A 26,727-nucleotide genomic window follows, 5' to 3' on the forward strand; every position below is an offset into this window, starting at 1 on the left:
AGATGAGTTCATCCTCACCCCCTTACATTTTTATATTTGGTGCCAACAAATCCTGGACATCTAGAGTTTGTGTTAAAAATTCTATCCTTATTCACAACAAACTTTAATTTTCAAAGTTTAGCCTAACATTATATCTAGGTTATAAAATTATATCTACACTCTAGGTTTCACTGGATGTGCTAAGACTCTTCCAGGTCAGTATTTCCAGGAATTTCCCTTTATTCTCCTGTGCCCCAGGCTTTGGAATGGTCTCTACTGGTCAAAAAGTAAAATCATGATTTCCACTTTTACCCACAGACATATGCCAAGTTTAAGATTTTCGCTGGGTACTGAAACACTCACACATACACGTACACACACACACACACACACACTCTTAAATTTGTATAATACTGGCCAATTCATAGAACACTTTCAAATATACTCTCCTTCAATCCTTGGAATAACACTTTAAAATAAGAAGAGGAGGGACCAGGTGCAGTGGCTCATGCCTGTAATCCCAGAACTTTGGGAAGCCGAGGCAGGTGGATCACTTGAGGTCAGGAGTTCAAGACTAGCCTGGCCAACATATGGTGAAACCCCATCTCTACTAAAAATACAAAAAATATCTGGGCGTGGTGGCGGGCATCTATAATCCCAGCTACTCAGGATTCTGGGGCATGAGAATCACTTGAACTGGGAGGCAGAGGCTGCAATGAGTGGAGATCATGCCACCGCACTCCAGCCTGGGCAACAGAGCAAGCTTATGTCTCAAAAAATAAATAAATAAAATAAAATAAGCAGAGCAGGTATTCTTACCTTAATTCCGTGTATATGGAACCCAACACTGAGACAAATTAAGTGACTTAATCATTCACCCACCGTTCACCAATGATGCTATGAATTTTCACACCTCTGAGGCTGGGCCTGTACTCACTCTTCTGCCTACCATGCCTCTCCTCTTCTTCAGAGGTCAGCTCAAATGTCACATTCTCTGTGAAATGCCTTCCCACTTCAGCCCGTGAACTACTCTTGCTGCATAGACCTCCCACAGTCTAGTCTCCTATTATAACATAGCTAGTCAGGGGTGCCCTGGACTCTAAGAGAGAAACACCCAGGTTTGAATGTCTAGTCCTCCCTTTGCTAACAGATGACCTTAGACAAGTTCCAACTCCATGCAGGCACTGTGCTTTCTTGAGTAAAATGAGGATATTTCTAACATTTATTGAGCATCAAAATATGTCAGGCACTTTACAAATTAGCTCATTTATTCCTCCTCAGAGCCCTAGAAAGAGGTGTTATGCTCAGTTTTATAGATTTCTCAGGCATGGACAAGTTTTGACCTCAGGCTATCTGACTCTAACAGATGGGAACTTCTTTCTAGATTATCCTCTGCCTTTTAAACTGGAATGATTATTTTGTGATCCTGGCCGCCCTGAGTTTAAATGCCCTGAGAGGCTTAAATGAGGTAAGTATGTTCAGCTTTGTGGCTCAGTAGTTGGGTAGATCTCCTTCTTTCTCTGCCCCATCACACAGTCTTATTGATTGTCAGCCACTAGAGTGGCCTATGAAAGCACAGACTCATAGGAGTCCTTGATATGCATCACAGATGTGCACCACAGAGATGCAATATTCAAGTCAACTCATGACTTACCTGGGAAAATGCTGGCCCTTTATCTTTTTAAACACATACAGACACAAGAGTACACAACTACACGCATACTGAAAAATGCACAAAACATAAGGATTCAGCTTAAATAATTGTTGTAAAGTAGAAATACATCTGTGTAACTACCTCTCGGGTCAAGAAATAGCTCATCACCAGCACCCAGAAGCCACCTCACACTCCTTCCCAATCACAGCCTCTATCCTCTCTTCTATCAAGCGTAACCACTACCTTGAATTTTATGGAAATCACAGCTTTACTTTTCTTTATAGTTTACCACCTAATAGGCATCCCTAAACACTTAGCATTATTGAACTTTTATATCGGTGGAGTCATACAACATGTGCTCTTCTGTGTCAGGCTTTTTCACCCAACATTGGGTTTGTGAGAGCCACCCATATTCTGTGTGATGGTAGCTTGGTTTTTTCATTGCTGTATAGTATTCCACTGGACAAATACACCACAATTTATTTATCTGTTCTATTATTGCTAGGTATAGAGATTGTTCTAATCTGGGTTGCTATGAATAGCAGTGTTTTGAAGACCTCTAGTCTACTGAATCTAGTGGTCTTTCTCACTATTCTAGAGGTGCTTTCTAACACTCTACTGTCCAGAAGCAATGCTTCCCCTACACACACACACTACCCCACCCCCACCGCCTTGTCTGCTGTCCAGCTTGGAAATGTTAAAACATTACCGTACAAGCTGGGAACCACAAGCTATTGAAGAAATTGGAGGTCAAAGATTTTCCGAAGACCTCCCTTCCTTTCTGCCTCAGATTTGACTTCTGATAACAATAGCGATAACAAAAACAGCAAAAAGAATACTTAAAAGTGTAATGAGAATTCTTATCCATTTACTCCAGGTCTGGTGCGTGGGAAATGGGGGAGAAGGTGCTGAGCTTACTGATATTGCCGGTAAGGCTGGGCCCAGGCTCTTAAAAGCCTCAAGCAGGGAAAGGGGTCCCACGTCTGCACAGGGGAGGTGACTAGAGAAGTGGCTGGCAGCACCCCCTGCTGTCTGCGCTTCTGCTTCTATGCAGGACCTGATCTATAGCCAGTTTTCAGATAATTTGGAGAGAAGGATGGTGAGGCCTGCAGCAAAGTGGCTTATTCTAACCACAGGCCCCCAAGCTGGCTGGGCTGGCCAGGCCATCAGCTTGCTTCATTGACCTGGCTCAGAGAAAGTGGGGCTGGGTGAGCTGAAGGTAGGGCCTCCTTTCCTGCTTATGCCAAAAGGTGCCTAAGTGAACTTTGCCCCAGTGGAGAGACTGTATCTGACCTAATGGGCTTCTCACTAAACATGCGGGTGTGAGTAGAGTAAGACTTCCCTGCAGGGTCCAAGCCAGCTTATGAGGCTCCCTCCTCAACCCAGGGCTTCCCAGCTCATCTGACACAGAAACCATCCCAGAAACCAGCTGCTACAGTTTATCTTGAACTTCCATTGTTACAATGTGCTGGACTTAAATTTTTTCAAAAATAGGCCGTTGTCAGGAACACAACTGGTACCGTGTTTCAGGAGGGCACTTTGGTAATAAGAATCAGAAGCCTGGAAAATGTCCTTTCCCTTTAACCCAGCAATGCCACTTCTAAGAAGCCATCCTAAGGAAATAATCAGACAATAGACACAAGAATATGCACCACAGTATTGTTTATAATATGGAAAACCTGGAAACAACCCAGACGGCCACAATAAGGAACCAGTTAAATAAATCTCTGTACTTCCTTATAGGAATGTTATTAAAGAATGTTTAATAGGCTGGAATGTTTACTCTACAATTTAAAAAAATTACAAAATGATATTTAATGATATGATTCCAAAGGAGCAAAGAGCCTGAAAGAATACATATCTTCATAGAAATATCTCTACAGATTAATATGTAGTTATAAGATTGGTATATACAATAAGTAATTTTTTTTTTTTTGAGGCAGAGTCTTGCTCTTTCACCAGGCTGGAGTGCAGTGGCACGATCTCAACTCATTGCAAACTCCGCCTCCCAGGTTCAAGCAATTCTAATGCCTCAGCCTCCCGAGTACCTGGGACTATAGGCGCATGCCACCACGCCCGGCTAATTTTTGTGTTTTTAGTAGAGACAGGGTTTCACCATGTTGGCAGGCTGGTCTCGAACTCCTGACCTCAAGTGATCCGCCCACCTCAGCCTCCCAAAGTGCTGGGATTACAGGTGTGAGCCACCGCACTCAGCCTATATATAATATTTTGAAAATTTTATTTATTTTATTATATTTTATTTTATTTTTTGAGATGGAGTCTCAGTCTGTCACCCAGGCTGGAGTGCAGTGATGTGATCTCGGCTCACTGCAACTTCTGCCTCCCAGGTTCAAACGATTCTCCTGCCCTCAGCCTCCTGTGTAGCTGGGACTAAGGCACCCGCCACCATGCCCGGCTAATTTTTGTGGGGTTTTTTGAGACAGAGTTTCGCTCTTGTTGCCCAGGCTGGAGTGCAATGGCGTGATCTCGGCTCACTGCAACCTCTGCCTCCCAGGTTCAAGCAATTCTCCTGCCTCAGCCTCCCGAGTAGCTGGGATTACAGGCATATGCCACCATGCCTGGCTAATTTTGTATTTTTAGTAGAGATGGGGTTTCTCCATGTTGGTCAGGCTGGTCTTGCACTCCCAACCTCAGGTGATCCTCCCGCCTCGGCCTCCCAAAGTGCTGGGATTACAGGCGTGAGCCACCGTGCCCAGCTGTTTTCCTGACTCTTACAGCTGAAGAAAGAGGCTCAAAATGGTTAAATCTGAAACTCTATCACTATTTTCTGGAATGCAAAATGGATCATCAGCATAAAGGGTCGTGTCCTTGACTGACGCCCTAGATCACTTTGTACAGTCAGTTCTCGGTCCCACAGGAGATTAGATTTGGAAGAAATTGTCAAGATGATGGTTTTCAACTCCCTCACAGTCCAAGAGTTCCCTTTGCTCCATGCCCAGATGTGGCCCTGCAGCTGCTTCTTGCACATGCCCAGCGACAGGGTCCCTGCTTCAGTTCATGGAGCTGAAATCTGCCCATGTACAACTTGAATTCCCTCGCCCCAGTTTCTCTTCTGTGTCCAAGTCCTATGGGTGGATCCTGGCAAACCCAGCAGGGTATGTGCCATCACGATGAAGGAAAAAGGAGTTAGGCCAGAGGTTGGATCAAGGATCAGGGTTTAAAAAAAAAAAAAAAAGTATCAGGGTTGAAAACCAGCTTCCAGATCTCAAACAGAAAATGAATCAGGTGGGCCAGGCATGGTGGCTCATGCCTGTAATCCCAGCACTTTGGGAAGCCAAGGCGGATCACGAGGTCAGGAGCTCAAAACCAGCCTGGCCAACATGGTGAAAACTCGTCTGTACCAAAAATACAAAAATTAGCCGAGCATGGTGGTGTGCGCCTGTAGTCCCAGCTACTAGGGAGACTGAGGCAGGAGAATCACTTGAATCCAGGAGGCAGAGGTTGCAGTGAGCCAAGATCGTGCCACTGCACTCCAGACTGGGCGACACAGTGAGACTCCATCTAAAAAAAAAAAAAAGAGCCAAGTGTGGTTGCTCACGCCTGTAATCCCAGCACTTTGGGTGGCTGATGCAGGTGGATCATGCAGTCAGGAGTTCAAGACCAGCCTGGCTAATATGGTGAAACCCTGTCTCTAATAAAAATACAAAAATTAGCTGGGCGTGGTGGCGCACACCTGTAGTCCCAGCTGCTCGGGAGGCTGAGGCAGGAGAATCACTTGAACCTGGGAGGTGGAGGTTGCAGTGACCTGAGATTGTGCCACTGCACTCCAGCCTGGACAACAGAGTGAGACTCTGTCTCAAAAAAAAAAGAAAATGAGTCAGGTGAACTAGAGATTGAAGAAATTACACACACACGCACACACACACACAGCAGTCTACAACTGGCCTGTGCGTTAGGGCAAGGATACTGGTGTTGGACTCCATCCAACATGTAGCCCTGAGTAATATAGTCTAGGTACTTGCTTGAATGGGACATGGGGAAGCCTTCAGGGGTACTGGAAATGCTCTGTATCTTGATCTGGGTGGCAGTAACAGAGGGATTTACATATGCAAAAGTTCACCAAACAACATATTTTAGACTGGTGTTCTGCACTGAATTTACAGTAAATACATATTTTAAAAGTCTAAAACAAAATAAAAATGATTCAAGAAAAAGAGGCACAGTTGCTGGAATGTGTGAGGGGTGAGAGGGGACGGGCTGCAGCGCAGAGGTTGGTTGGGTGGCTGCAGGAGCACATGGAGTGTCTTTTTTTTTTTTTTTTTTTTTTTTTTGAGACAGAGTCTTTCTGTGTCACCCAGGCTGGAGTGCAGTGGTGCAATCTTGGCTCACTGCAACCTCTGCCTCCCGGGTTCAAGCGATTCTCCTGCCTCAGCCTCCCGAGTAGCTGGGATTACAGTCATGTGCCAAAACGCCCGGCTAATTTTTGTATTTTTAGTACAGACAGAGTTTCACCATGTTGGCCAAGCTGGTCTTGAATTCCTGACCTCAAGTGATCCGCCCACCTCGGCCTCCCAAAGTGCTGGGATTACAAACGTGAGCCACCATGCCCGGCCTCGAGTGGCTCTTTTGATTGCTGATATCTTGTTAGAAACAGGCAGCTTAGGCAGAAGCTGATAAGGAGAAGCAGGACGGGGAGGAGGAGGGAAGGGTTGAAGAGGAGGGAAGGGTTGAAGAGAAGAGAAATTGGGAAACGGCATTCTAGAATGGAAATGGAGGAGGATTTCCAGCAGTACTAAAGAAAGGCCTGATGGTGATTCCTTTTCCATCCAGTTAACCTTTCTTGATCAAGGTGCTTTGAATCTTTTCCTTGCTAATTTGACTTGAATTAGCCATGAATTCCTATATAAAAGGAATTCAACATGTTTGCTAGTTAAAGTGAGGCAAGTAGCATGGTTCTGTGTGTCCACATTCAGCTGAGTACAGGTAGAAAAGCTCTGCCGCAGCTGTGGTTTTGCTAGGAGACACAGTCAAATGAGGCAGGGCCAAGGAATTGAGGGTGTACGAAGGAAGTAGAAAGTGGATGTTGAGGGCTGACGGGCAAGGAGGAGGGTGGGGCCGACACATGACTACAATTGCAGTATTAGAAGAAAGGAGCTGAAAATATAGCAGGCCAGGAGAGAAGGAGGATTGAATAGAGGTTATGGAGGAGGCAGAGCTATTGGTAATAACAATGTCTGACCATGGAGGGTGATAGTCAAGGTTGTGTACTGGTTCAAGCTAATTGCTATAACAAACAATCCCTCATTCTTAGTGGCTCAGCACATAAAGGTTTATTTCTTGTTCAAATCGCAACCCAAGGCTTGTTGGTGGGGTTGCTCAGGGTCAGCTCAGTCATTCAGGGTCCTGGGCTCTTTCCATGGTGGCTTGGACTGCATTGTTTAATACGGTAGCCACCAGCTACATGTGGTTACTAAACATTGGAAATGTGACTTGAGCAACTAAGAAACTGAATTTTTCATTTTAAAAATTTAAATTTTGGCCGGGCACGGTGGCTCAAGCCTGTAATCCCGGCACTTTGGGAGGCCGAGGCGGGTGGGTCACGAGGTCAGGAGTTTGAGACCAGCCTGGCCAACATGGTGAAACATCGTCTCTACTAAAAATACAATAAAATGAGCCAGGCATGGTGGCAAACACCTGTAATCCCAGCTACTGAGGAGGCTGAGGCAGGAGAATCGATTGAACCTGGGAGGTGGAGGTTGCAGTGAGCTGAGACCATGCCATTGCACTCAAGCCTGGGCGACAGAGTGAGACTCCATCTCCAAAAAAAAATTTAATTTAATATTTTGAAAGTATGTTTGGAACAATTTGGATATGTGCAACTACTTTATGAAGTTAAATACAGATTGGCTGTTCTGCCTATGGAGTAGCTATTCTTTCGTTTCTCTCAATAAACTTGCTTTCACTTTACTATAAAAAAATTAAATACAGATCAATTTTTTGTTGTGATTTTTTAAAGACATGAGGTCTCGCTCTGTGACCTGGGCTGGAGTACAGTGGCGCAATTACAACTCACTGCAGCTCCAACTCCTGGGCTCAAGTGATCCTCCCATCTCAGCCTCCCGAGTAGTTAGGAGTACAGGCTCACATCACCATCCCCAGCTAATTTTTTAAATTTATTTTTGTGGAGATGGGGGTCTCACTATGTTGCTCAGGCTGGTCTTGAACTCTTGGCCTTAAGTGATCCTCCTTGGCCTGCCAAAGAGTTGATATTACAGGTGTGAGCCACCATGACCAGCCCAGATCAAGTATTTTTGACGTAAACTTAACATTTGAATTGATAGGTGCTGTTAAGTGTAAATTACACACTAGATTTCAAAGACTTAATATGAAAAAAAGATACAAAATACCTCACTTATAATTTTTATATTGATAACATGTTGAAATGATATTTTTAATATGCTGGATTAAATAAAATGTACTATTAAAATTAATTTTACCTGTTTTTTGTTTTTGTTTTTGTTTTTGAGACAGGATCTCATTCTGTTGCCCACCCTGGAGTGCAGTGGTGCGATCTCAGCTCACTGCAGCCTCCGCCTCCCAGGTTCAAGTTTTTCTCCTGTCTGTTTCTGAGTAGCTGGGGTTACAGGCATGCACCACCACGCCCGGCTAATTCTTGTATTTTCAGTAGAGACAGGGTTTTGCCATGGTGGTCAGGCTAGTCTCGAACTCCTGACCTCAAGTGATCTGCCCGCCTCTGCCTCCCAAAGTGCTGGGATTACTGGTGTGAGCCACCGTGCCCAGCCATACCTGTTTCTTTTTGCATTTTTAAATATAGCTACTTGAAAATTTAAAATCACATATGTGACTTGGCTTCCATTTCTACTGGACTGCGCTGTTCCAGGGCCTTATAACACTCCATTGCATCCTCTCCATCTGGCTAGCAAATAATGAGAGAGCAAGCAGAGGACTGCAAATCCCTTTGTCCAGAACTCAGTCATGAAGCCATTGTTACAAAGGAGAAGTGCATATGTAGCCTGCCCGGAAAGGAGAGGAAACAGATTTGGTGAGCAATGAGCTGGCCTCCGGCACAGGTCCAGGGTAGAATGACAACATTGTTGGAGGTGAGGTGGTCAAGGCACTGGCAGGCGGGGCATTTGGAAAGACTGTTTGTGAAGTCACCAAGAATCTGAAGTGACAGGGAATGGAACTCTTCAAGGAATTCAGAGCAGTGACCCGAGTCTACAGTTGATTCAACAAAGCTGAATATTTAGTAAATATTCAGATGACAGCTTCAAAGCTGAAAGCTTTGAAGAAGAGAGGAATGGTGGTCTTGAAGCAGCAGTTGGGAGAAATGAGTATACCTCCTTCACCTCCAGGCCAGTGGTCCAAGATGAGTAGGGGAGAGAAGAAAGGCCCCATTTGAAAGGGTGTCTGGGGAAGAAGTGTCCTTATGGAGAATAGGTTTTAGTGCATGACCTTAACCAAGTTATTTAACCATTCTGTTTGAGGTTTCCTTGGTTTAAAATAGGGATAAGAATAACACTTATCTCATAAGGTTGTTGTATTAAATACTGAAATACAGATGCTCCTCAACTTATGATGGGGTTACGTTCCAATAAACTCATGGTAAGGTGAAAATATCATAAGTCGAAAATGCACTTAATACACCTAACATGCAGAACATTGTAACTTAGCCTAGCCTACCTTAAACGCAATCAACATTCTTACATTACCTGCAGCTGAGCAACACAGTTTATGGTGTGGCTGACAGGGACTGGCCCAGCTTGTCAAAAGAGTATCATACTGCTTTCTACTGAACGTATATCACTTTCATGCCATCTTAAAGGTGAACCATTGTCAGGGACCGTCTCTACCTGCAAAATATTTAGCATGTCGAAATGGCTATGTTAAATAATTTCCTGACATTGTACTAAAAGCACGCTGGTTTCTCCTTTGTTTTTTGTTGTTGTTGTTGTTGTTTGTTGTTGTTGTTTTTTGTTTTGAGACAGAGTCTCACTCTGTCATCCAGGCTGGAGTGCAGTGGTGCAATCTCAGCTCACTGCAACCTCCACCTTCCAGGTTCAAGCAATTCTCCTGCCTCAGCTCCCCAAGTAGCTGAGATTACAGGCACGTACCACCACGCCCGCCTAATTTTTTTGTTTGTTTGTTTAGATGGAGTCTTGCTCTGTTGCCCAGGCTGGAGTGCAGTGGCACTATCTCGGCTCACTGCAAGCTCTGCCTCCCGGGTTCATGCCATTCTCCTGCCTCAGCCTCCCAAGTAGCTGGGACTACAGGTGCCCGCCACCACGCCCGGCTAATTTTTTTTTGTATTTTTAGTAGAGACGGGATTTCACGGTGTTGGCCAGGGTATTCTCCATCTCCTGACCTTGTGACCCGCCCGCCTTGGCCTCCCAAAGTGCTAGGATTACAGGCATGTGCCACCGCACCCGGCCCTAATTTTTTGTATTTTTAGTAGAGACGGGGTTTCACCATGTTGGCCACGCTGGTCTTGAACTCCTGACCTCAAATCATCGACCCACCTCAGCCTCCCAAAGTGCTTGGATTACAGGCGTGAGTCACTGTGCCTGGCTTCTCCTTTGTTTCTGTCTTCTTCCTTCGCGTATTAATTTTCCTTTGTGTGTGCCTTCAATCTGGCGTTGCTCTTGGATAAATGAAGCAATTTATTAGCTTTGCCCTTATTCTAGGACATGATGCACTGGCAAAATTCACTGGGTCCATGTAAATTTATGTTGCCACTCAGAAGAAAGTGGTCAGCTTGGATGTAATGTGAAACTGATGTAATCTTAGATAATAGTTTGAGAAAGAAACACACATTTCTTCCTATAAATAGAATACAAATTTCATTTTCAAAAGGAAAAAGCTTTGTGTGTGAAGAGGGAAGTTCTGGAAGGAGGGTGTGGCTACTTTCCAGATTACAGTTGATACAATTGCACAGACTTTTTCTATTGCCTAATAGAGACTTGTCTATGAATGGCAAAATGAGGAATGATCCATTCTTTTACACCATTTCCAGAACAGTGCCCTGAGAATCAACTGCTTCTGTTAACGCTGTCTGTGGTAAGATGTCTACGCAGAAAACCCTAGGAATAACAATTAAGTTAGTGCTCTGTATTACGGTTTGCTTTCCAGAAGTGACACTCCACAAATCCCTCTCAAACCTCACACCAGAAACTCAAGAGCTCACCAGACCTTCCTCTGAAATATGACTGTGCCAGGGGCCTGATGCTGGGCAAAGGGTCGGGCTGGGGAAGGAGGCAGGTGATTCTTCTGTTCGCCATGGCTGGATAAAACCAGCACACCCCAGCCTCTCAGAAAGCTTCATCCTGTGCATAATTTGTAAAAATTGCTTAGTTACTTGGTCTTAGAGAGGGGAAATCTGATGCCTTGTGATGGAAATTTGGAGTTTCCATCCACGCCTGGCCTGCCGAGGAACTCTGCTGAGCAGTGGCTGCACCTGCCAGGTCTGCCTGTTAACCTCACCGGCGCTGCATGTCCGTATTTAAAAATTGGAACTGAATCTACAGCGCTCAAGGCATTTTCAGAACATGAAACATTTTTGATGTAATCATTTTTTAAAAGTTTCTGCAGGGCACAGTGGCTTGCATCTATAATCCCAGCACTTTGGGAGACTGAGGAGGAGGATCACTTGAGCCCAGGAGTTTGAGACCAGCCTGGGCAACATAGTGAGACGCTGTCTCTATGAAAATAAAAATAAAAAATTGTTTTCAAAGTTTCACTTACATGCTGCCTTTTTTTTTTTTTTTTTTTTTTTTTTTTACGGAGTTTCACTCTTGTTGCCCAGGCTGGAGTGCAATGGCATGATCTCGGCTCACTGCAACCTCCACCTCCCAGGTTCAAGCAATTCTCCTGCCTCAGTAGCTAGGATTATAGGCACCCACCACTACACCCGGCTAATTTTTGTATTTTTAGTAGAGATGTGGTTTCACCATGCTGGCCAGGCTGGTCTCGATCTCTTGACCTCAAATGATCTGCCCGCCTCAGCCTCCCAAAGTGTTGGGATTACAGGCGTGAGCCACTGTGCCTGGTCCACATGGTGCTTTATATCATCTTCACGTAGGTTCTCATCAAACCCCTGTAAAGGATGTTTTCTTGTCCTTGTTTTACAGATGAGGGAGTTGAGTCTTAGAGGATGGTGTCTCTCCTAAGGTCACATAGTCACACATAGTCATAGAAAGGCAGCAGAGGCTGGGTCATAAGGACCCTCTGATGTCACATCCTATGCTCTTGTACAACACCCATCCTCTCTTGTAATTAAAAACTAAACCAAACCAAAATGAAATTAAATACTGCTTCCTCATCTAGCTAATTTTGTCACAGAATCACTGTAACCAGTGATTTGGAGTAAATGGCACCTAGTTTCTCCACTGGGAGGCAGCCATAGCCACCAGTGGCTCCTGTGTTCTTCCAGATATATTCTGTGTGTAAAATTTTAGACGTGCACATCTAACGCAAATGCAAGCAAACTGCCCTGTAGGTGGTTTTTTTTCACTTTAGATTTTCTCAATGATTCTTCTGTATTAGTTATCAATAACTTAGAAGAGGGGAGTGGATTTCTGAGCCTGATCCTTACAACTTAAATTCAAGAGCCTAGCCATCATTCCCTCCGCCTTATACTGAAAACACCTACAGTAGTTCTCTATTACTTACAACATCCCATCTAAATGTTTAGCCAGGAATTCAAAGGCATATATAACCTGGCCATAAAACACCGAAGTTTATATTCCTATAATCCTATATAAAACTCTGTCCTCTCCTGCTAGTGCTCCCTATCCCATGGGCTGGGTACCACCCTCCCAACCCCATCTTCATATAATAAATTACCACCCAGTCCTCAAGGCCTTACTCCAACCCCATCTCTTTCAATGTAACTCCCAAGACCTCTACAGCTAGAAGGGCTTCCTTCCTCTTTAGAGTCTCAGTAGTGCTGATCGCTTGATAGTTAATATTTATTGTCAAATTATCTTTTTTTTTTTTCTTTTTTTTTAGACAAGATCTCACTCTGTCACCCAGGCTGGAGTGCAGTGGCCCAATCTTGGCCCACTGCAACCTCCATCTCCTGGACGCAAGTGATGCTCCCACCTCAGGCTACCAAGTAGCTGGGACCACAGGCACATGCCACCACACCCGGCTAATTTTTGTATTTTTTGTAGAGATGGGGTTTCACCATGTTGGCCAGGCTGGTCTCGAATTTCTTTTCTTTTCTCTCTCTTTTTTTTTTTTTTGAGATGGAGTTTCACTCTTGTTGCTCAGGGTGGAGTGCAATGGCCTGATTTCAGCTCACCACAACCTCCACCTCCCGGGTTCAAGCACTTCTCCTGCCTCAGCTTCCCGAGTAGCTGGGATTACAGGCATGTGCCACCATGCCCAGCTAATTTTTGTATTTTTAGTAGAGACGGGGTTTCTCCATGTTGGTCAGGCTGGTCTCGAACCCCCGACTTCAGGTTATCCACCTGCCTCGGCCTCCCAAAGTGCTGAGATTACAGGCATGAGCCACTGCGCCCAACCCTTTTTTTTTTTTTTTGAGACGGAATCTCATTCTGTTGCCCAGGCCAGGGCACAACAGTGCAATCTCGGCTCACTGTAACCTCTGCCTCCAGGGTTCAAGCGATTCTCCTGCCTCAGCCTTTGGGGTAGCTGGGACTACAGGCACGTGCCACCACGCTCGGCTAATTTTTGTATTTTTAGTAGAGATGGGGTTTCACCATGTTGGCCAGGCTGGTCTCAAACTCCTGACCTCAAGTGATCAGCCTGCCTCAGCCTCCCAAAGTGCTGGGATTACAGGCATAAGCCACCGTGTCCGGCCTGGTCTCGAATTTCTGAGCTCAAAAGATCCACCCGCCTTGGCCTCTTTGGTGCTGGGATTACAGGCATAAGCCATCATTCCTAGCCCTATTGTCCCATCATCTTAACAGTAAATATTTGTTAACTCAATGACTATTCCCAAATGGGTTATTTTTATTTTTTAGAGACAATGTCTCATTGTGTTGCCCAGACTGGTCTCAAACTCCTCTGAGCTGAAGTGATTCTCCTGCCTCAGCCTCCTGAGTAGCTGGAACTACAGGTGTGTGCCACCACAGCCTGGCACCAAATAGATTGTTAATCACTGAAGGTGTGCAACTAGTTCTTTATCTGACCTACACAGTGTGTTGGCTTGAAGGGGCATGAGCTGGTGAAGCAGTTTGGCTGTTTAAGTGAACAATGATGATTTTGGGGTGATTCTTTCTAAGAGCTAACATTGCCTGTGGCCCCCTGTTCTTTGGATTGCTACAAGAAGGGACAAATCAGATTTCTGTTGTACACAGTGATGTACTGTGCCGCTCTCAGGCAGACTGTGGCTGTCATCCTGCCTATCTGTCTTATGTTTTCTCCCCTTTTAATCATTTCTAGGGACTTACTGAGTCCAGTGACTTTGGTTCCTGTGCTTTTGTTTCCCCATGTGAAGAATTCTACTAGGATTAATAATTTCATTGGGGAACGGACACGGTGGCTCACACCTGTAATCCCAGCACTTTGGGAGGCCGAGGTGGGCAGATCACGAGGTCAGGAAGTTGAGACCATCCTGGCCAATCTGGTAAAACCCTTCTACTAAAAATACAAAAATTAGCTGGGCATGGTGGCACGTGCCTGTAATCCCAGCTATTCGGGAGGCTGAGGCGAGAGAATTGCTTGAACCAGGGAGTTGGAGGTTGCAGTGAGCCGAGATCGCGCAACTGCACTCCAGCTAAAAAAGAAAAAAAAAATCATTAGGGATATCGTAAGAAAGACTTTGAACATCAAAAAAGAAAAATGATTGTAGTTGATTGAAACACATCAAATCTCCAAAAATCCAAAGTCTATAACAGTAAGAGAAAGCTTGTGTGTCACCATTTGAAACAACTGTTTACTTTGAAAGTGGATAACGAGGGAGAAGTAGGCATTTATCCTGCCTTTGCAGTAGCAACTCTACTGCAGAAACCAAAATAATCCCAGATGACAGGGGAAAACTCTACATTTATACATTTATAGGTTACATTTACATTTATACCGTTACTTTACACTGAAAGAATCATTTGTAGTACCTAAGGAAATTATCAATTCAGGCAAGGATTATCAGTTGACCTTAAAGCTCTAAGAATGGGAAACTGGTTACTGATGCTGTACCAAAGTTATACCACTTGGGTCACTTTCTGGTCATAGGAGATGAAAAACATAACTATATGATGGAGGCCTGGTCTCTTAAAAAAATCAGTGTAATAAGACAGTTAAATAATAATAATAATAATTAAATAGAATATGAGGTTCTGGGTTAGTTCATGATCTGTACAAACCAGCTATAAAGGACATTTGGAAGCCAAATGAAGAAATTTGAGTATGTATTAAGTATTAGATAATATTAAGAAATTGGGCCGGGCATGGTGGCTCGCGCCTGTAATCCCAGCACTTTGGGAGGCCAAGATGGAGGAATCACAAGGTCAGGAGATTGAGACCATCCTGGCTAACACGGTGAAACCCCATCTCTACTAAAAATACAAAAAATTAGCCGGGCATGGTGGCACAAGCCTGTAGTCCCAGCTACTTGAGAGGCTGAGACAAGAGAATCGCTTGAACCCTGGAGGCAGAGGTTGCAGTGAGCTGAGATCGTGCCACTGCACTCCAGCCTGAGCAACAGAGCAAGACTCCGTCTCAAAAAAAATAAAAAAAGAAATAAATGTTAATTTTGTTAGATGTGAAAATGTTATTTTGGCTATATAGGAAGACATTTAACTCTTTAGAAATGCATACTGGAGAATTTAAGACTGTATCAGGAGATTACAAGAGATTTATTTCTCCCTCGCTCCATCACCATCCCAGGTCAGCTGTCACTCTCCTTGTTATCTGCAGTCTGGTGTGCAGGCTGAAGAAACAGCCCTGTGTGGGACACTGCTGGTCTTCTGGTAGAAAGAAAAGAAAGATGATGGAATCACACTGTGATTCAGATTGTGGGCTGCACTTCCACTTACGTTTTATTGGCTAAAGTAAGTCACATGGTAAAGTCTTGTATCAGTGGGGGTAATTTTCCCACAGGGTTGGGCAGTAGGATTATTTAGAAGTCAGTGACAAGGAGGACAAAGCATCTCAAACACTGAGAAATAACAAAATTGTTTATCAGGAAGAAAATTATAATGTTAAATCCAGATGTTAAAAAGCAAGAAAGATTGAAAATGAGTGAACTTAGCTTTCAACTCTAGAAACTAGAAAATAACAAATAAACCAGAGAAGGTAGAAGGAAGGAATTAATAAAGATAAAACAGATAATATGAAATAGAAAACCCAACACAATAATTTGATGTTTTAACAAGCTCAAAACATAGAAAGCCTTTGGCAAGTATGAACTAGGAAAAAAAACAAAGAAAGAAAGAAAGAAAGAAAAAAGACACTATAACATCAGAGAGGAAAACAGAATGCAGAGATTTCAAATTTTTTAAGTGCTATGTGCAGCTTTATTCCAATGAATTTGAAAATCCAGACCATGGAGAATGGCTTTCTAAAGAAATATAAATTACCAAAATTGACTCAAGGAACAGAAAGCCTGAACTTATCAATAGTAATATAAGAAATAGTCAAAGATCTACCTTCAAAAAAGAAAACAAGTCCACATGGTCCATAAGGCAAGGTTCTACCAAGAGTTCAAGGAGGAGATAAACCCCACATAATGTGAAAGATGGAGAGTTTACCAAGAGCAGACTATCACTTTGCAGCTACAGATGCTGTATAACGAAGGTCTGGTCCATATAAATTACCAAAATTGACTCAATGGGGATGACCACAATTCTGAATTCCTAAGCTTTTGATCTCATGAAAACTAAAACAGGAGCCTTGACCAGAATGGTTGTTACAGCAGGTTCACATATTGAATGTTTGCACTTGTTGTTCATATGACATTGATAATAAGTTTCCTTTTGCTTATGTTACGAGGTGTTAGGTGATAGTACAGTTTATTTGGCCCATCTTTTTTGTGTTCCTGTTGGCTGATGCAATTCAATGTTAACAATTAAGTTATTTTCAGTGAGATTCAGGGCATTCAACAAATTAATAATTCAGGTGTGAATTTTTCTGCTTATTAAAAACTTTAAAAAATTAAGGTAAAGTTAAAATCTATGCCCTAAGTGAAAATATGAACACTCTTATACTTTGTTAGGCGAGTGGACAAGTGATTCTATGCCAAGGACATCTGAGATATATGGGAATGACTCAGGCATAGGAGTTTTGGACTCCAGGTCAGGCGAATCTAGTTACCGGAGGGGACAGAGAACAACCGCCTCACTGAGAAACTGGGAGGGGACTGTAATTACCAGGGACTTAGGAACAGAGCAGGGGTCAGCCAGGAACAGGAAGGTAAGGCAGACACCAGTTACTATAAACCTGGAAACTAAGGCCAAGGCAGTGGCAGGATAGAGTCAAACCAACCCTATCCTAAGCATTGACCCCAGTGTTGAAGGAAATGCTGAGCCTGGAGAGGAGGTGGGGATAGTTAAGAGACAGCCAAATTTCCAAGTCACATTTATTGCACCAGACATATTAACTGCTTCCTCAGAATCTCAATTCCTGCCAGAAAAGACTGACAGACTACTGCTATGAAAAGAAGACCCCTTTATTTCCTGGGTCCCTGGGAAAAAAATGATGAAGACAACAAGCCTTTTGTTTGGTGTGTGCACCCGCCTTCTAACCCTGAAGTTAACCCCAGAAATCAAAACACATTCACTTTAGAACACTGGCACATCTAAGAAGCCCAAAGTGCCTGAAGGGCATCATATAACTAAGCCCCCTTTACAAAGACTTGGCAAGTCAACACTTTGTTCTAACTTCCAAAGTAACAGTTTGAGGATCAGTTCTACATGTAAATCTGGGAACCACAAAAGGAAGTTAATCTCTGCTAGTACCAGCCTGTTGGAGACAGTCCATCCCCAAAGGCCACAGGCAGCAAGTGGCTGTGTCAGCTCAGAAGCCATACTCTTGGGGAATGTCCCACAGAACACAACACGAGGCCAAGATGCAGGCTGAAGCTAGGATTTGAGTTTCTTGGTGGCCAACTTTCATTTGTCATAGAAATAACATCCCACCTTTGTACTGTACTGCCATTTCCTCCCTCAGCACTATGTATAAGACTCCTGTTAAAATGTTTACTGTGATTTTGAGTTGAATCCTGGTGAGAATCAAAGGACATTTTACTTCCTATCATTTTCCAAATTGAGTCCCCAGGCCTGCTATTGTCTTTCTCAAGTTTTCCAACTTGGCCTCCCTTTTTCAGTTCTTCTCTCACTTTCTACCTTTACTTTAGGTGTGCCTGCCCTCAACCCGGGACACTGGAGCTAGCACCAAAGCCTACACGGAGAGGATCAGGACATCCTGTTGAGCACCAGAACATTTCCTTCCTCAAGAAAAGGAAATACAAATGGATTTATTCTCAGGGCTACAGATTTAGGAAAAAAAAAAAAAAAAGCTGTGCTTAACACCAGGCCACTGTACAATCACCAGGACTTTTCTGGATGTGGAGCAACTTCATTTGGTTATTTCAGAATGCTTTGTAAACACGGCAGACACGGACAAAGCGTGGTTGAAGCATTTCAGTTGTACTTGTCTCTCATTTTCTACACGTGTTTTCCCAAAAGCTGCTTTCCCAAAAGGAGCCTGGGGAGAGGCCTTAATCATCTGTTATCTCTCTTGCAGCTTCCTGCTCAGCCAGTGGCAAGATCCAAAATATATATGAGCATTTCCTGTTCTTTCTCATTTTGTATAACCCACATGTTAGAGAGATTGAGTTGTCTGATCTAGCTCCACATAGGACTTAGGTGGCACGTGAAAACCTAAGTCCAACCACTAAATGCTCTAATTACCCCTCATCTTAACCTAGGTAAAGGATGATCTCTTTCAAGACGTAGAATGTGCTTATCTTTCCTTGGACATTCAAAACAAAACAAAACAAGAGTCTGTTTTCAAATGTCAATGTCAAATCACAATATCATTGTATGTCTTGTATCCAGAAAGGATCTTAGTGAATATATAGCCCAAGAGGCTTAAAGTGGGGCTGTGAATAGCTTCGGAGGAGTCTATAGCTCCCTAAATTGTGAATGATAGAAATACATCAGGGAGATGTGCTTGGGTAGGGTGTGTGGGAAGGTGGATGGCTGTTTCTCTTCCTTTCCTAGATACCTGAAAATGTAAGGAACCAGGCTAAAAATATGGAAGTTTTTGGGAAACCTGTTTCCCTAATCTCTCTCATAATTCTGTTTTCAGTCTGAGGACAAGTTCTTGGTGCTTGCTCTTAAAGAAGAGCCTGGAAATGGAGTCGAGACTTTGCACATAGTGAATCCTGAAAAAATGTTTGTTGAATGAGTTAACAAATGCATGAATGACTCTAGGTTGAAATGCTAGTTATTTAAGGCATTTAAATAGAAGGTTGTGGCCAGGCACAGTGGCCCACGCCTATAATCCCAGCACTTTGGAAGGCTGAGGTGGGTGAATCAAGACCAGGAGCTCAAGACCAGCCCAGCCAACATGGTGAAACCCCGTCTGTACTAAAAATACAAAAAATTAGCTGGGCGTGATGGCAGGTGCCTGCAGTCTCAACTATTCGGGAGGCTGAGGCAGGAGAATCGCTTGAACCAGGGAGTCAGAGGTTGCAGTGAGCCGAGATCGTGCCATTGCACTCCAGCCTGGGCAACAGAGCGAGACTCCATCTCAAAAAATTAAAAAAAGTAATAAATAAATATTATAAATAGAAGGTTGTACGATTTATCTTGCCTTCCCTCTTCTTAACACTATTCCAAATTTCTGCATGATGTATTTAAGGGGCACTGACTCCACCCCCAAGGTCAAGATTAGATCCTGTTGGGCTTGACTCAATCAACACATTCCATCTGTCTGGTCTTTGATGATTACTTTAGGATGAACACAGTACCCAAGTCAGGGCAGTGCTCACACCTGTAATCCCAGCACTTTGGAATGCTGATGCAAGATGATCACTTGAGGCCAGGAGTTCGAGACCAGCCTAGGCAATATAGCAAGACCCCATCTCTTCAAAATAAAATAAAAATTAAAAATTAACCAGGTGTGAGGGTATGCACCTGGACTCAAGAGACTGAAGTGGGAGGATCCCTTGAGCCCAGGAGGTTGAAGCTGCAGTGAGCCATGATCACACCACTGCACTCCATCTCGGGTGACACAACAAGACTCTGCCTCAAAAAAAATTTTTTTAAGCTATTGATAATGCTAAGTCTCTCTTTTCTACTGGATTTGAACCTGAAAGCATGTACGCTCTGAAGCTTCTGGAAATTAACCCTGAGGTGATGAAACCAATAAATGGAAAGCAGGAGTTCAGGATTTGTTTATATCATTGGGGCGTTGGATGAAAACTTTCCTGAAGCCAGTAACGTCCAGAGTTTTCAGCAATATTCATCCCTGTAAATTTCCTTTTTTTTTTTTTTTTTTTTTGAGATGGAGTCTCACTCTGTCACCCAGGCTGGAGTACAGTTGGTGTGATCTTGGCTCACTGCAACCTCTGCCTCCCCAGCTCCAGCAATTCTCCTGCCTCAGCCTCCCAAGCAGCTGGGATTACAGGCACCTGCCACCATGACCGGCTAATTTGTGTGTGTGTGTGTGTATTTTTAGTAGAGACAGAGTTTCACCATGTTGACCAGGCTGGTCTCGAACTCCTGACCTCAACTGATCTGCCTGCCTCAGCCTCCCAAAGTCCTGGGATTACAGGCATGAGCCACCATGCCCGGCTGATTCCCTTATTGTATAAGTCAATTTAATTTTGCTTTCTGTTTTCTGCTATGGAAAAAATCATTGACTAATACAAGCTTATGTGATTTGCAGGTAGTTGAAACATAATATGTATTCATGGATATTTCTTAACTCCCAAACCAACATTTAACCAAAAGATAATTTTCCTCATAATATTCCCAGTAAGGTAGAGTTATGTACTTGTATACAATGCATTAGAGATAGTGATTTGTGTAAAAGTAATTAAGCTACAGTCTTAGAGTGAGTCAGTTGCAACACAATAACTAGAATCAAGGAACTTGAATTCCCATGCCCCTGGAGACATTATCAAGTCTCTTAGGAAATATTGTTGTGATATTGCCTAGACATTTAAATTTTCCCTCATGTTCTTCTTAATAAGATTGTGAAAGGTAGTTCCTGTTTCAAAGAACATAGTCACTTCTCTGACACAATTATTTTCCACTAAAAACAAAACGTCAAACTGAAAGGAAAAGGAATTATTTAAATAATGTTAAGTCAGTTATTTCTCTTTTTTTCCCCAAGCCAAACTGTATCCAGCTTTATAAAAGATACTTTCCATAAACAATCATGGTATTTCAGGCAGGACATGGGCAGACAATCGTTACCGGTATACAACTTTCTTGTTTTTTTTTTTTTCTTTTTTTTTGAGACGGAGTCTTGCTCTGTCGCCCAGGCTAGAGTACAGTGGCGCAGTGGCACGATCTCGGCTCACTGCAACCCTCCGCCTCCCAGGTTCAAGTGATTCCCCTGCCTCATCCTCCCGAGTAACTGGGATTACAGGCACCTGCCACCATGCCCAGCTAATTTTTTGTATTTTTAGTAGAGACAGGGTTTCACAATATTAGCCAGGATGGTCTCGATCTCCTGACCTCGTGATCTGCCTACCTCGGCCTTCCAAAGTGCTGGGATTACAGGTGTGAGCCACCGTGGCCAGCCTACAACAACTTTCAAACTCCCTTCTTTAATGGATTACCAAAACCCAGGAAGTCACTATAAAACCCAATGAAGTCTTCATTCGATGCTCTCAATGGGAAGAGTATAGAATGAGGGTTGACATTTCACATTTAGCATGTTGTTTAACAGCTTTTCATGAGTCAATCCTGACTTTCAGGAAGTGAAATGCAAATGGCAGAATTTATCTGAAGATCCACAATCTAGAAACGGAACCACTGCTCTTTTGAGGGGTGCCATCTCACTGGCATCACTGGAAAGTCCAGATTGCCTCATACACTGGTAACCAATAATTGGGGGTCAGGTCCCAACAGATGTCTGGGTTTAAGGGAGTTAAGCCTACGCTGAAAGGTGGAAAGGGAGAAGAGGACACAAAAACGAATTTGTTTTTCTATAACACAAGGCTTTTTTGCCAAGGGGCCATCTGTGTCAAAGTCAGGGAATCCCTCCTCCTGGGAGCCAAGAGGAAGTCTCTCAAAACTAGGAGGGAAAGGTGTTTTCCCCACATCAATCCAGCTTCAGAGACATTCTGTTAGGGACATATGCCCCACCCCCTAAAACAATGAAGTGTTCTGTGTGCTAACAACAAAGCTTTAAGAAAAAAAGCAAAACAAAATTCTGCATTTTTATAAAACTTGATTAAAAAATAGTATTTCAAACTGTACAGTCACCAGAAGTACACAGTTATCAAAAATGCAGACACTTCACTTGGCATCTCCAGGACTTTCAGCTTTCTGTGCCTGGTCTGTTTTGGCAACTCCATTTTCTGCAGGGTTATTCCCCTCCTCGCCAGCATCAGCTTTTCCCTTTTTCCCTTTGGGTACCTTCTCTCCCTTTTTTGCAGGGGCCTTTTTAGGCTTGGGCTCTGGCTTTGGAGGAGCAGGCTTAGCAGACAACCTCACGGATCTTCTCTGTGGTTCGTCCTTCACCTTGGCTTTATCTCTTTTAGTATCCCCTTCAGCCTTTCTCTTGGGCATGGTGGCAGCGCTGGCGGGACGTAGGCGCGGGGCGTGGGATGCAGTGGGGTGCAGGCTTTGGTTGGTCTGGGGGTCTTTCTCGCCTCTTCATACTGCTCCATCAGTTATTTCTTAATAAAATCAGATAACACAATCCTGGCAACTAGGAAATTGAATTTAAATTTTGAATTGCTCCAACTTTCCCCTAAGCATTGTCTAGCAGACACACCAGAAGCCCATGACTTGTTGGAATAGAAAGAATGAGTTCTGATCACTATGTTTGAGACATCTTTGTTCACATAAAGATGGAATGCAAAAAGATAGGTCCTACTTTTCTTTTAGGCTACATTTCCTTATTCATAGAAGGATGCCCTAGACTCCAGGATATGGAAAGTATTTTCTTTACCTCCATTATTCTGGACCAATGAGGGACTTTTAAAATCATAGACTATCTAAAGAATCATGATTGGCCGGGCACTTTGGGAGGCCAAGGCAGATGGATCACTTGAGCTCAGGAGTTCAAGACCAGCCTGGGCAACAAGGCAAGACCCCCATCTCTACAAAAAAAAAAAAAATACAAAAAAATTAGCCAGATCTGGTGGTGCACACCTGTAGTCCCAGCTACTTGGGAGACTGAGGTGGGAGGATCACTGGAGCCTGGGAAGTTGAGGCTGCAGTCTGCTGTGATCATGCCACTGCACTCCAGTCTGAACAATAGCGTGAGACCCTGTCTCAAAAAAAAAAAAAATCATGATTTTTCAGGTTTACAAAAGTATATTTTAGACTTTTTTTTTTTTCAGATGGAGTTTCACTCTGTCACCTAGGCTGGAGTGCAGTGGCGCAATCTTGGCTCACTGCAACCTCTGCCTCCCAGGTTCAAGTGATTCTCCTGCCTCAGCCTCCCCAGTAGCTGGGATTACAGGGGCCCACCACCACACCCAGCTAATTTTTGTATTTTTAGTAGAAATGGAATTTTGCCATGTTGGCCAGTTTGGTCTGGAACTCCTGACTTCAGGTGATCAGCCCACCTTGGCCTCCCAAAGTGCTGGGATTACAGGCATAAGCCACCGAGCCCCGGTAATTTTTTTAAAATACTGGTATTTAACGTATGGAGAGTTTGAAAATTTTGATCAAATTTGATAGTGAGTTTCTGAGTTAAAGAAATGGCACAGTACATGGGCATATTGCATGACAGTGAGGTTAAAAATAGAAAAATAAAAAAAAACAGCACAGAATAACAGAAAGAAAGCCTCACTAGGAGCTGAGCACTCTGGTCTCATTTTATGCATCTCATTGAGTTTCTGTGTAGACTCAGTTTCTCAGCCCCTCTGGGCCTCAGTTTCCTCATCCATGAACAGAGGGGCTTAAACCAACTCATCTGGAGGAACCCTTCCCTGAGGATCTAGGAGTGGGTAAGACATGCTTAACCTACTACCATGTTAAGAATCACAATGTGAGCGAAAAGCTACACATCCTTGGTAGCTTTTCTTCATGCTGACAATCAGAAATAAATTGTTCTTCAATTATGACAATCAGAAATAAATTGTCGAGTTTAGGATGATAAGACTTTTGAAGGATTCTTGAATAGGGAATCAAATGCCTCAAATTTGGCAAGAGCATTTGAGTTTTATCCAAAAAAAAAAAAAAAAGCCTAGGGCTATTTTTTTTTCTTTTTTTGAGACAGAGTCTCACTCTGTCACCCAGGCTGGAGTGCAGTGGCACAATCTCAGCTCACTGCAACCTCTGCCTCCCAGATTCAAGTGATTCTCCTGCCTCAGGCACCCGAGTAGCTGGGATAAGAGGTGCATGCCACCACACTCGGCTAATTTTGTATTTTCAGTAGATACAGGGTTTCACCATGTTGGCCAGGCTGGTCTTGAACTCCCAACCTCAGGTGATCCACCCCCCTCAGCCTCCCAAAGTGCTAGGGTTACAGGTGTGAGCCACTGCGCCTGGCCCTAGGGCTAACTTTTGAGACTCAAATACCTTCAAGATGCTGTAAAACACTGATAAATCTCAAGAGGCAACTTAGGGAAAAACAAAACCAAAAACAAACAATGATGAAGCATAAGACATCATTCTTTGGTGTGCTTTGCCCCTCCAGAAGGAAATTCTTTCTGGCCCATCTTGAGTCAGTGCTCTTCACAAAAGAAGTAAATAGAAAAACTGTAGTATGTATTATTTCAGAATATTACAGGCCCAAGGGGCCTGATAATTTAATAGATACCTTCATTTTAAATTTCACATTTGAGGCCAGGTGCGGTGGCTCACACCTGTAATCCTGGCACTTTAGGAGGCCGAGGCAGGCGGATCACAAGGTCAAGAGATAGAGACCATCCTAGCCAACATGGTGAAACCCCATCTCTACTAAAAATACAAAAATTAGGAGTTCAAGACCAGCCTGGGCAACATAGCAAGAACTCATCACTGAAAAAAAAAAAGTATAAATGAAGTCAAAACCAAAACTGGATGTGGTGGTGTGCGCCTGTAGTCCAAGCTACTTAGGAGGCTGAGGCAGGAGAATCACTTGAACCCAGGAGGCAGAGGTTGCAGTGAGCCGAGATCACACCACTGCTCTCCAGCCTGGCGACAGAGCGAGACTCTACCTCAAAAAAAAAAAAAAAATTCACATTTGAGGGAGTCTGTGCAAGCCTACTCTGGCTCAGGAAGCTGCTTGATAATAATAAATAATAATAATATTTCAAATTTGAGTTAAATTTGCAGATTGTTCTGTAACTGAAATATTAATCAAAAGTAAATCAAAACTCATTGGAGATTGATATCTTAATCCCTTCTATAATTAAAAATAATTTTGTGTTTTTTGACACAGCTCTGTGGGGTTTAAAAATTATATTTTTATTTAGGTGGAAAAATCAATATAAAATACTAAGTATATAGTATATAAGAGTCCATAGCTACTGTGGTTTTGGCTTCATTTATACTTTTTTTTTCAGTGACGAGTTCTCACTATGTTGCCTAGGCTGGTCTTGAACTCCTGAGCTCAAGCAATCCTCCTGTCTCAGCCTCTCAAAGTGTTAGGATTACAGACATGAGCCACCCTGCCTGGCCCCATTTATACTTTTTAATGAGAAGAGCATATATTAAGTTGAATGATATGAAATTGCTATCTTCATAGGTCAAAATTTCATTTGGTTTCACCTAGTAGCTAGTAACTCAGTTTATTTAAATGTTAGTTCTTATCCTGTTACTAAATAACTTTTTTTTTTTTTGCTGGAGTGCAATGGTGCTCACCTCAACCTATGCCTCCCGGGTTCAAGCAATTCTCCTACCTCAGCCTCCCAAGTAGCTGGGATTACGGGTGCCCACCACCATGCCTGGCTAATTTTTTTTTTTAACTGAGTTTTGCTGTGTTTCCCAGGCTGGAGTACAGTGGCATGATCTCCACTCACTGCAAACCTCCACCTTCTGGGTTCAAGTGATTCTCCTGCCTCAGCCTCCTGGGTAGCTGGGATAACAGGTGCCTCCACACCCGGCTGATTTTTGTACTTTTAGTAGAGACAGGGTTTCACCATGTTGGCCAGGCTGGTCTGGAGCTCCTGATCTCAGGTGATTCACCTGCCTCAGCCTCCCAAAGTGCTGGGATTACAGGCGTGAGCCACCACGCCCGGCCTAATTTTTCTGTTTTTAATAGAGACGGAGTTTCACTATGTTGGCCAGGCTGGTCTTGAACTTCTGACCTCAGGTGATCCTCCCGCCTTGGCCTCCCAAAGTGCTGGGATTACAGGCATGAACTTAAATCTTTAAGGAGGAAAAAAAGTATGCAGTTAGGAATTGTGGGGCTCAGAGTTTATAATAGGAGGATCCAGCTTAAGTGCATTTTCCCCAACCACTTAAACTATCAAAGTAATACAACATATACACAATTTTAAAAAATCAAAGTACAAAAGGACTAAGAATGAAAAGTACTCATATCCTGCCTCTATCCCACCAGAAAAATATCCAAGATCTTTCAGTCCTTTCCAGTTTTATTTCATCTGCTCTCTCTTTAGCTCTAAGCAACATGCTTATATACCTATTTTTCTATTAGTCAATTCCAAACACTATTAAGTCTCTGATATGATAAATGAGCTACTTGTGTGTTGCTCCACTTTATCCTCCATTTATATTTTGTTAATGATAGTATTATTTTTTCTGTTGGTGATATTTACAATTTTAAAACTTCTACTTCCAGCTCCACCATCTTATTTATTTGAGACAGAGTCTCACTCTGTCACCCTGGCTGGAGTGTGGTGGGGCCATCTCAGCTCACTGCAGCCTGTGCCTCCCAAGTTCAAGTGATTCTCCTGCCTCAGCCTTCTGAGTAGGTGGGATCACAGATGTGCGCCACCACACAGGGCTAATTTTTGCATTTTTAGTAGAGACGGGATTTCGTCATGTTGGCCAGGCTGGTCTCGAACT

The 26,727-nt window shown here is 43.4% G+C and overlaps 1 long non-coding RNA gene and 1 pseudogene across 1 annotated transcript, besides 4 other annotated features; one reads left to right on the forward strand and one right to left on the reverse strand.

Annotated features, from left to right (window-relative positions):
• Positions 5,758-5,902: a transcriptional cis regulatory region, noted in NCBI's record as "candidate enhancer chr3.4237 targeted for multiplex CRISPR interference". NCBI's record gives its function as "positively regulates ATP1B3 gene expression with high confidence in K562 cells {active_cell/tissue: K562}" and the evidence as "EXISTENCE:mutant phenotype evidence [ECO:0000015][PMID:30612741]".
• Positions 6,050-6,909: a transcriptional cis regulatory region, noted in NCBI's record as "candidate enhancer chr3.4238 targeted for multiplex CRISPR interference". NCBI's record gives its function as "positively regulates ATP1B3 gene expression with high confidence in K562 cells {active_cell/tissue: K562}" and the evidence as "EXISTENCE:mutant phenotype evidence [ECO:0000015][PMID:30612741]".
• On the forward strand, positions 8,599-18,273 carry LOC105374134 (uncharacterized). Its single transcript, XR_924551.3, has 3 exons — positions 8,599-8,715; positions 15,467-15,630; positions 17,934-18,273. It is a non-coding gene; the product is annotated as an uncharacterized LOC105374134 (long non-coding RNA).
• Positions 17,671-19,018: an enhancer, noted in NCBI's record as "VISTA enhancer hs2041". NCBI's record gives its function as "enhancer in: limb[3/7]" and the evidence as "EXISTENCE:transgenic organism evidence [ECO:0001131][PMID:17130149]".
• Positions 19,377-19,671: a silencer, noted in NCBI's record as "tiled region #4874; HepG2 Repressive non-DNase unmatched - State 24:Quies". NCBI's record gives its function as "represses a minimal TATA promoter and a strong SV40 promoter by Sharpr-MPRA in HepG2 cells {active_cell/tissue: HepG2}" and the evidence as "EXISTENCE:reporter gene assay evidence [ECO:0000049][PMID:27701403]".
• HMGN2P25 (high mobility group nucleosomal binding domain 2 pseudogene 25) lies at positions 20,919-22,427 on the reverse strand (annotated as a pseudogene).

Source organism: Homo sapiens, chromosome 3, assembly GCF_000001405.40.
Source record: "Homo sapiens chromosome 3, GRCh38.p14 Primary Assembly".
Lineage (NCBI taxonomy): Eukaryota > Metazoa > Chordata > Mammalia > Primates > Hominidae > Homo > Homo sapiens.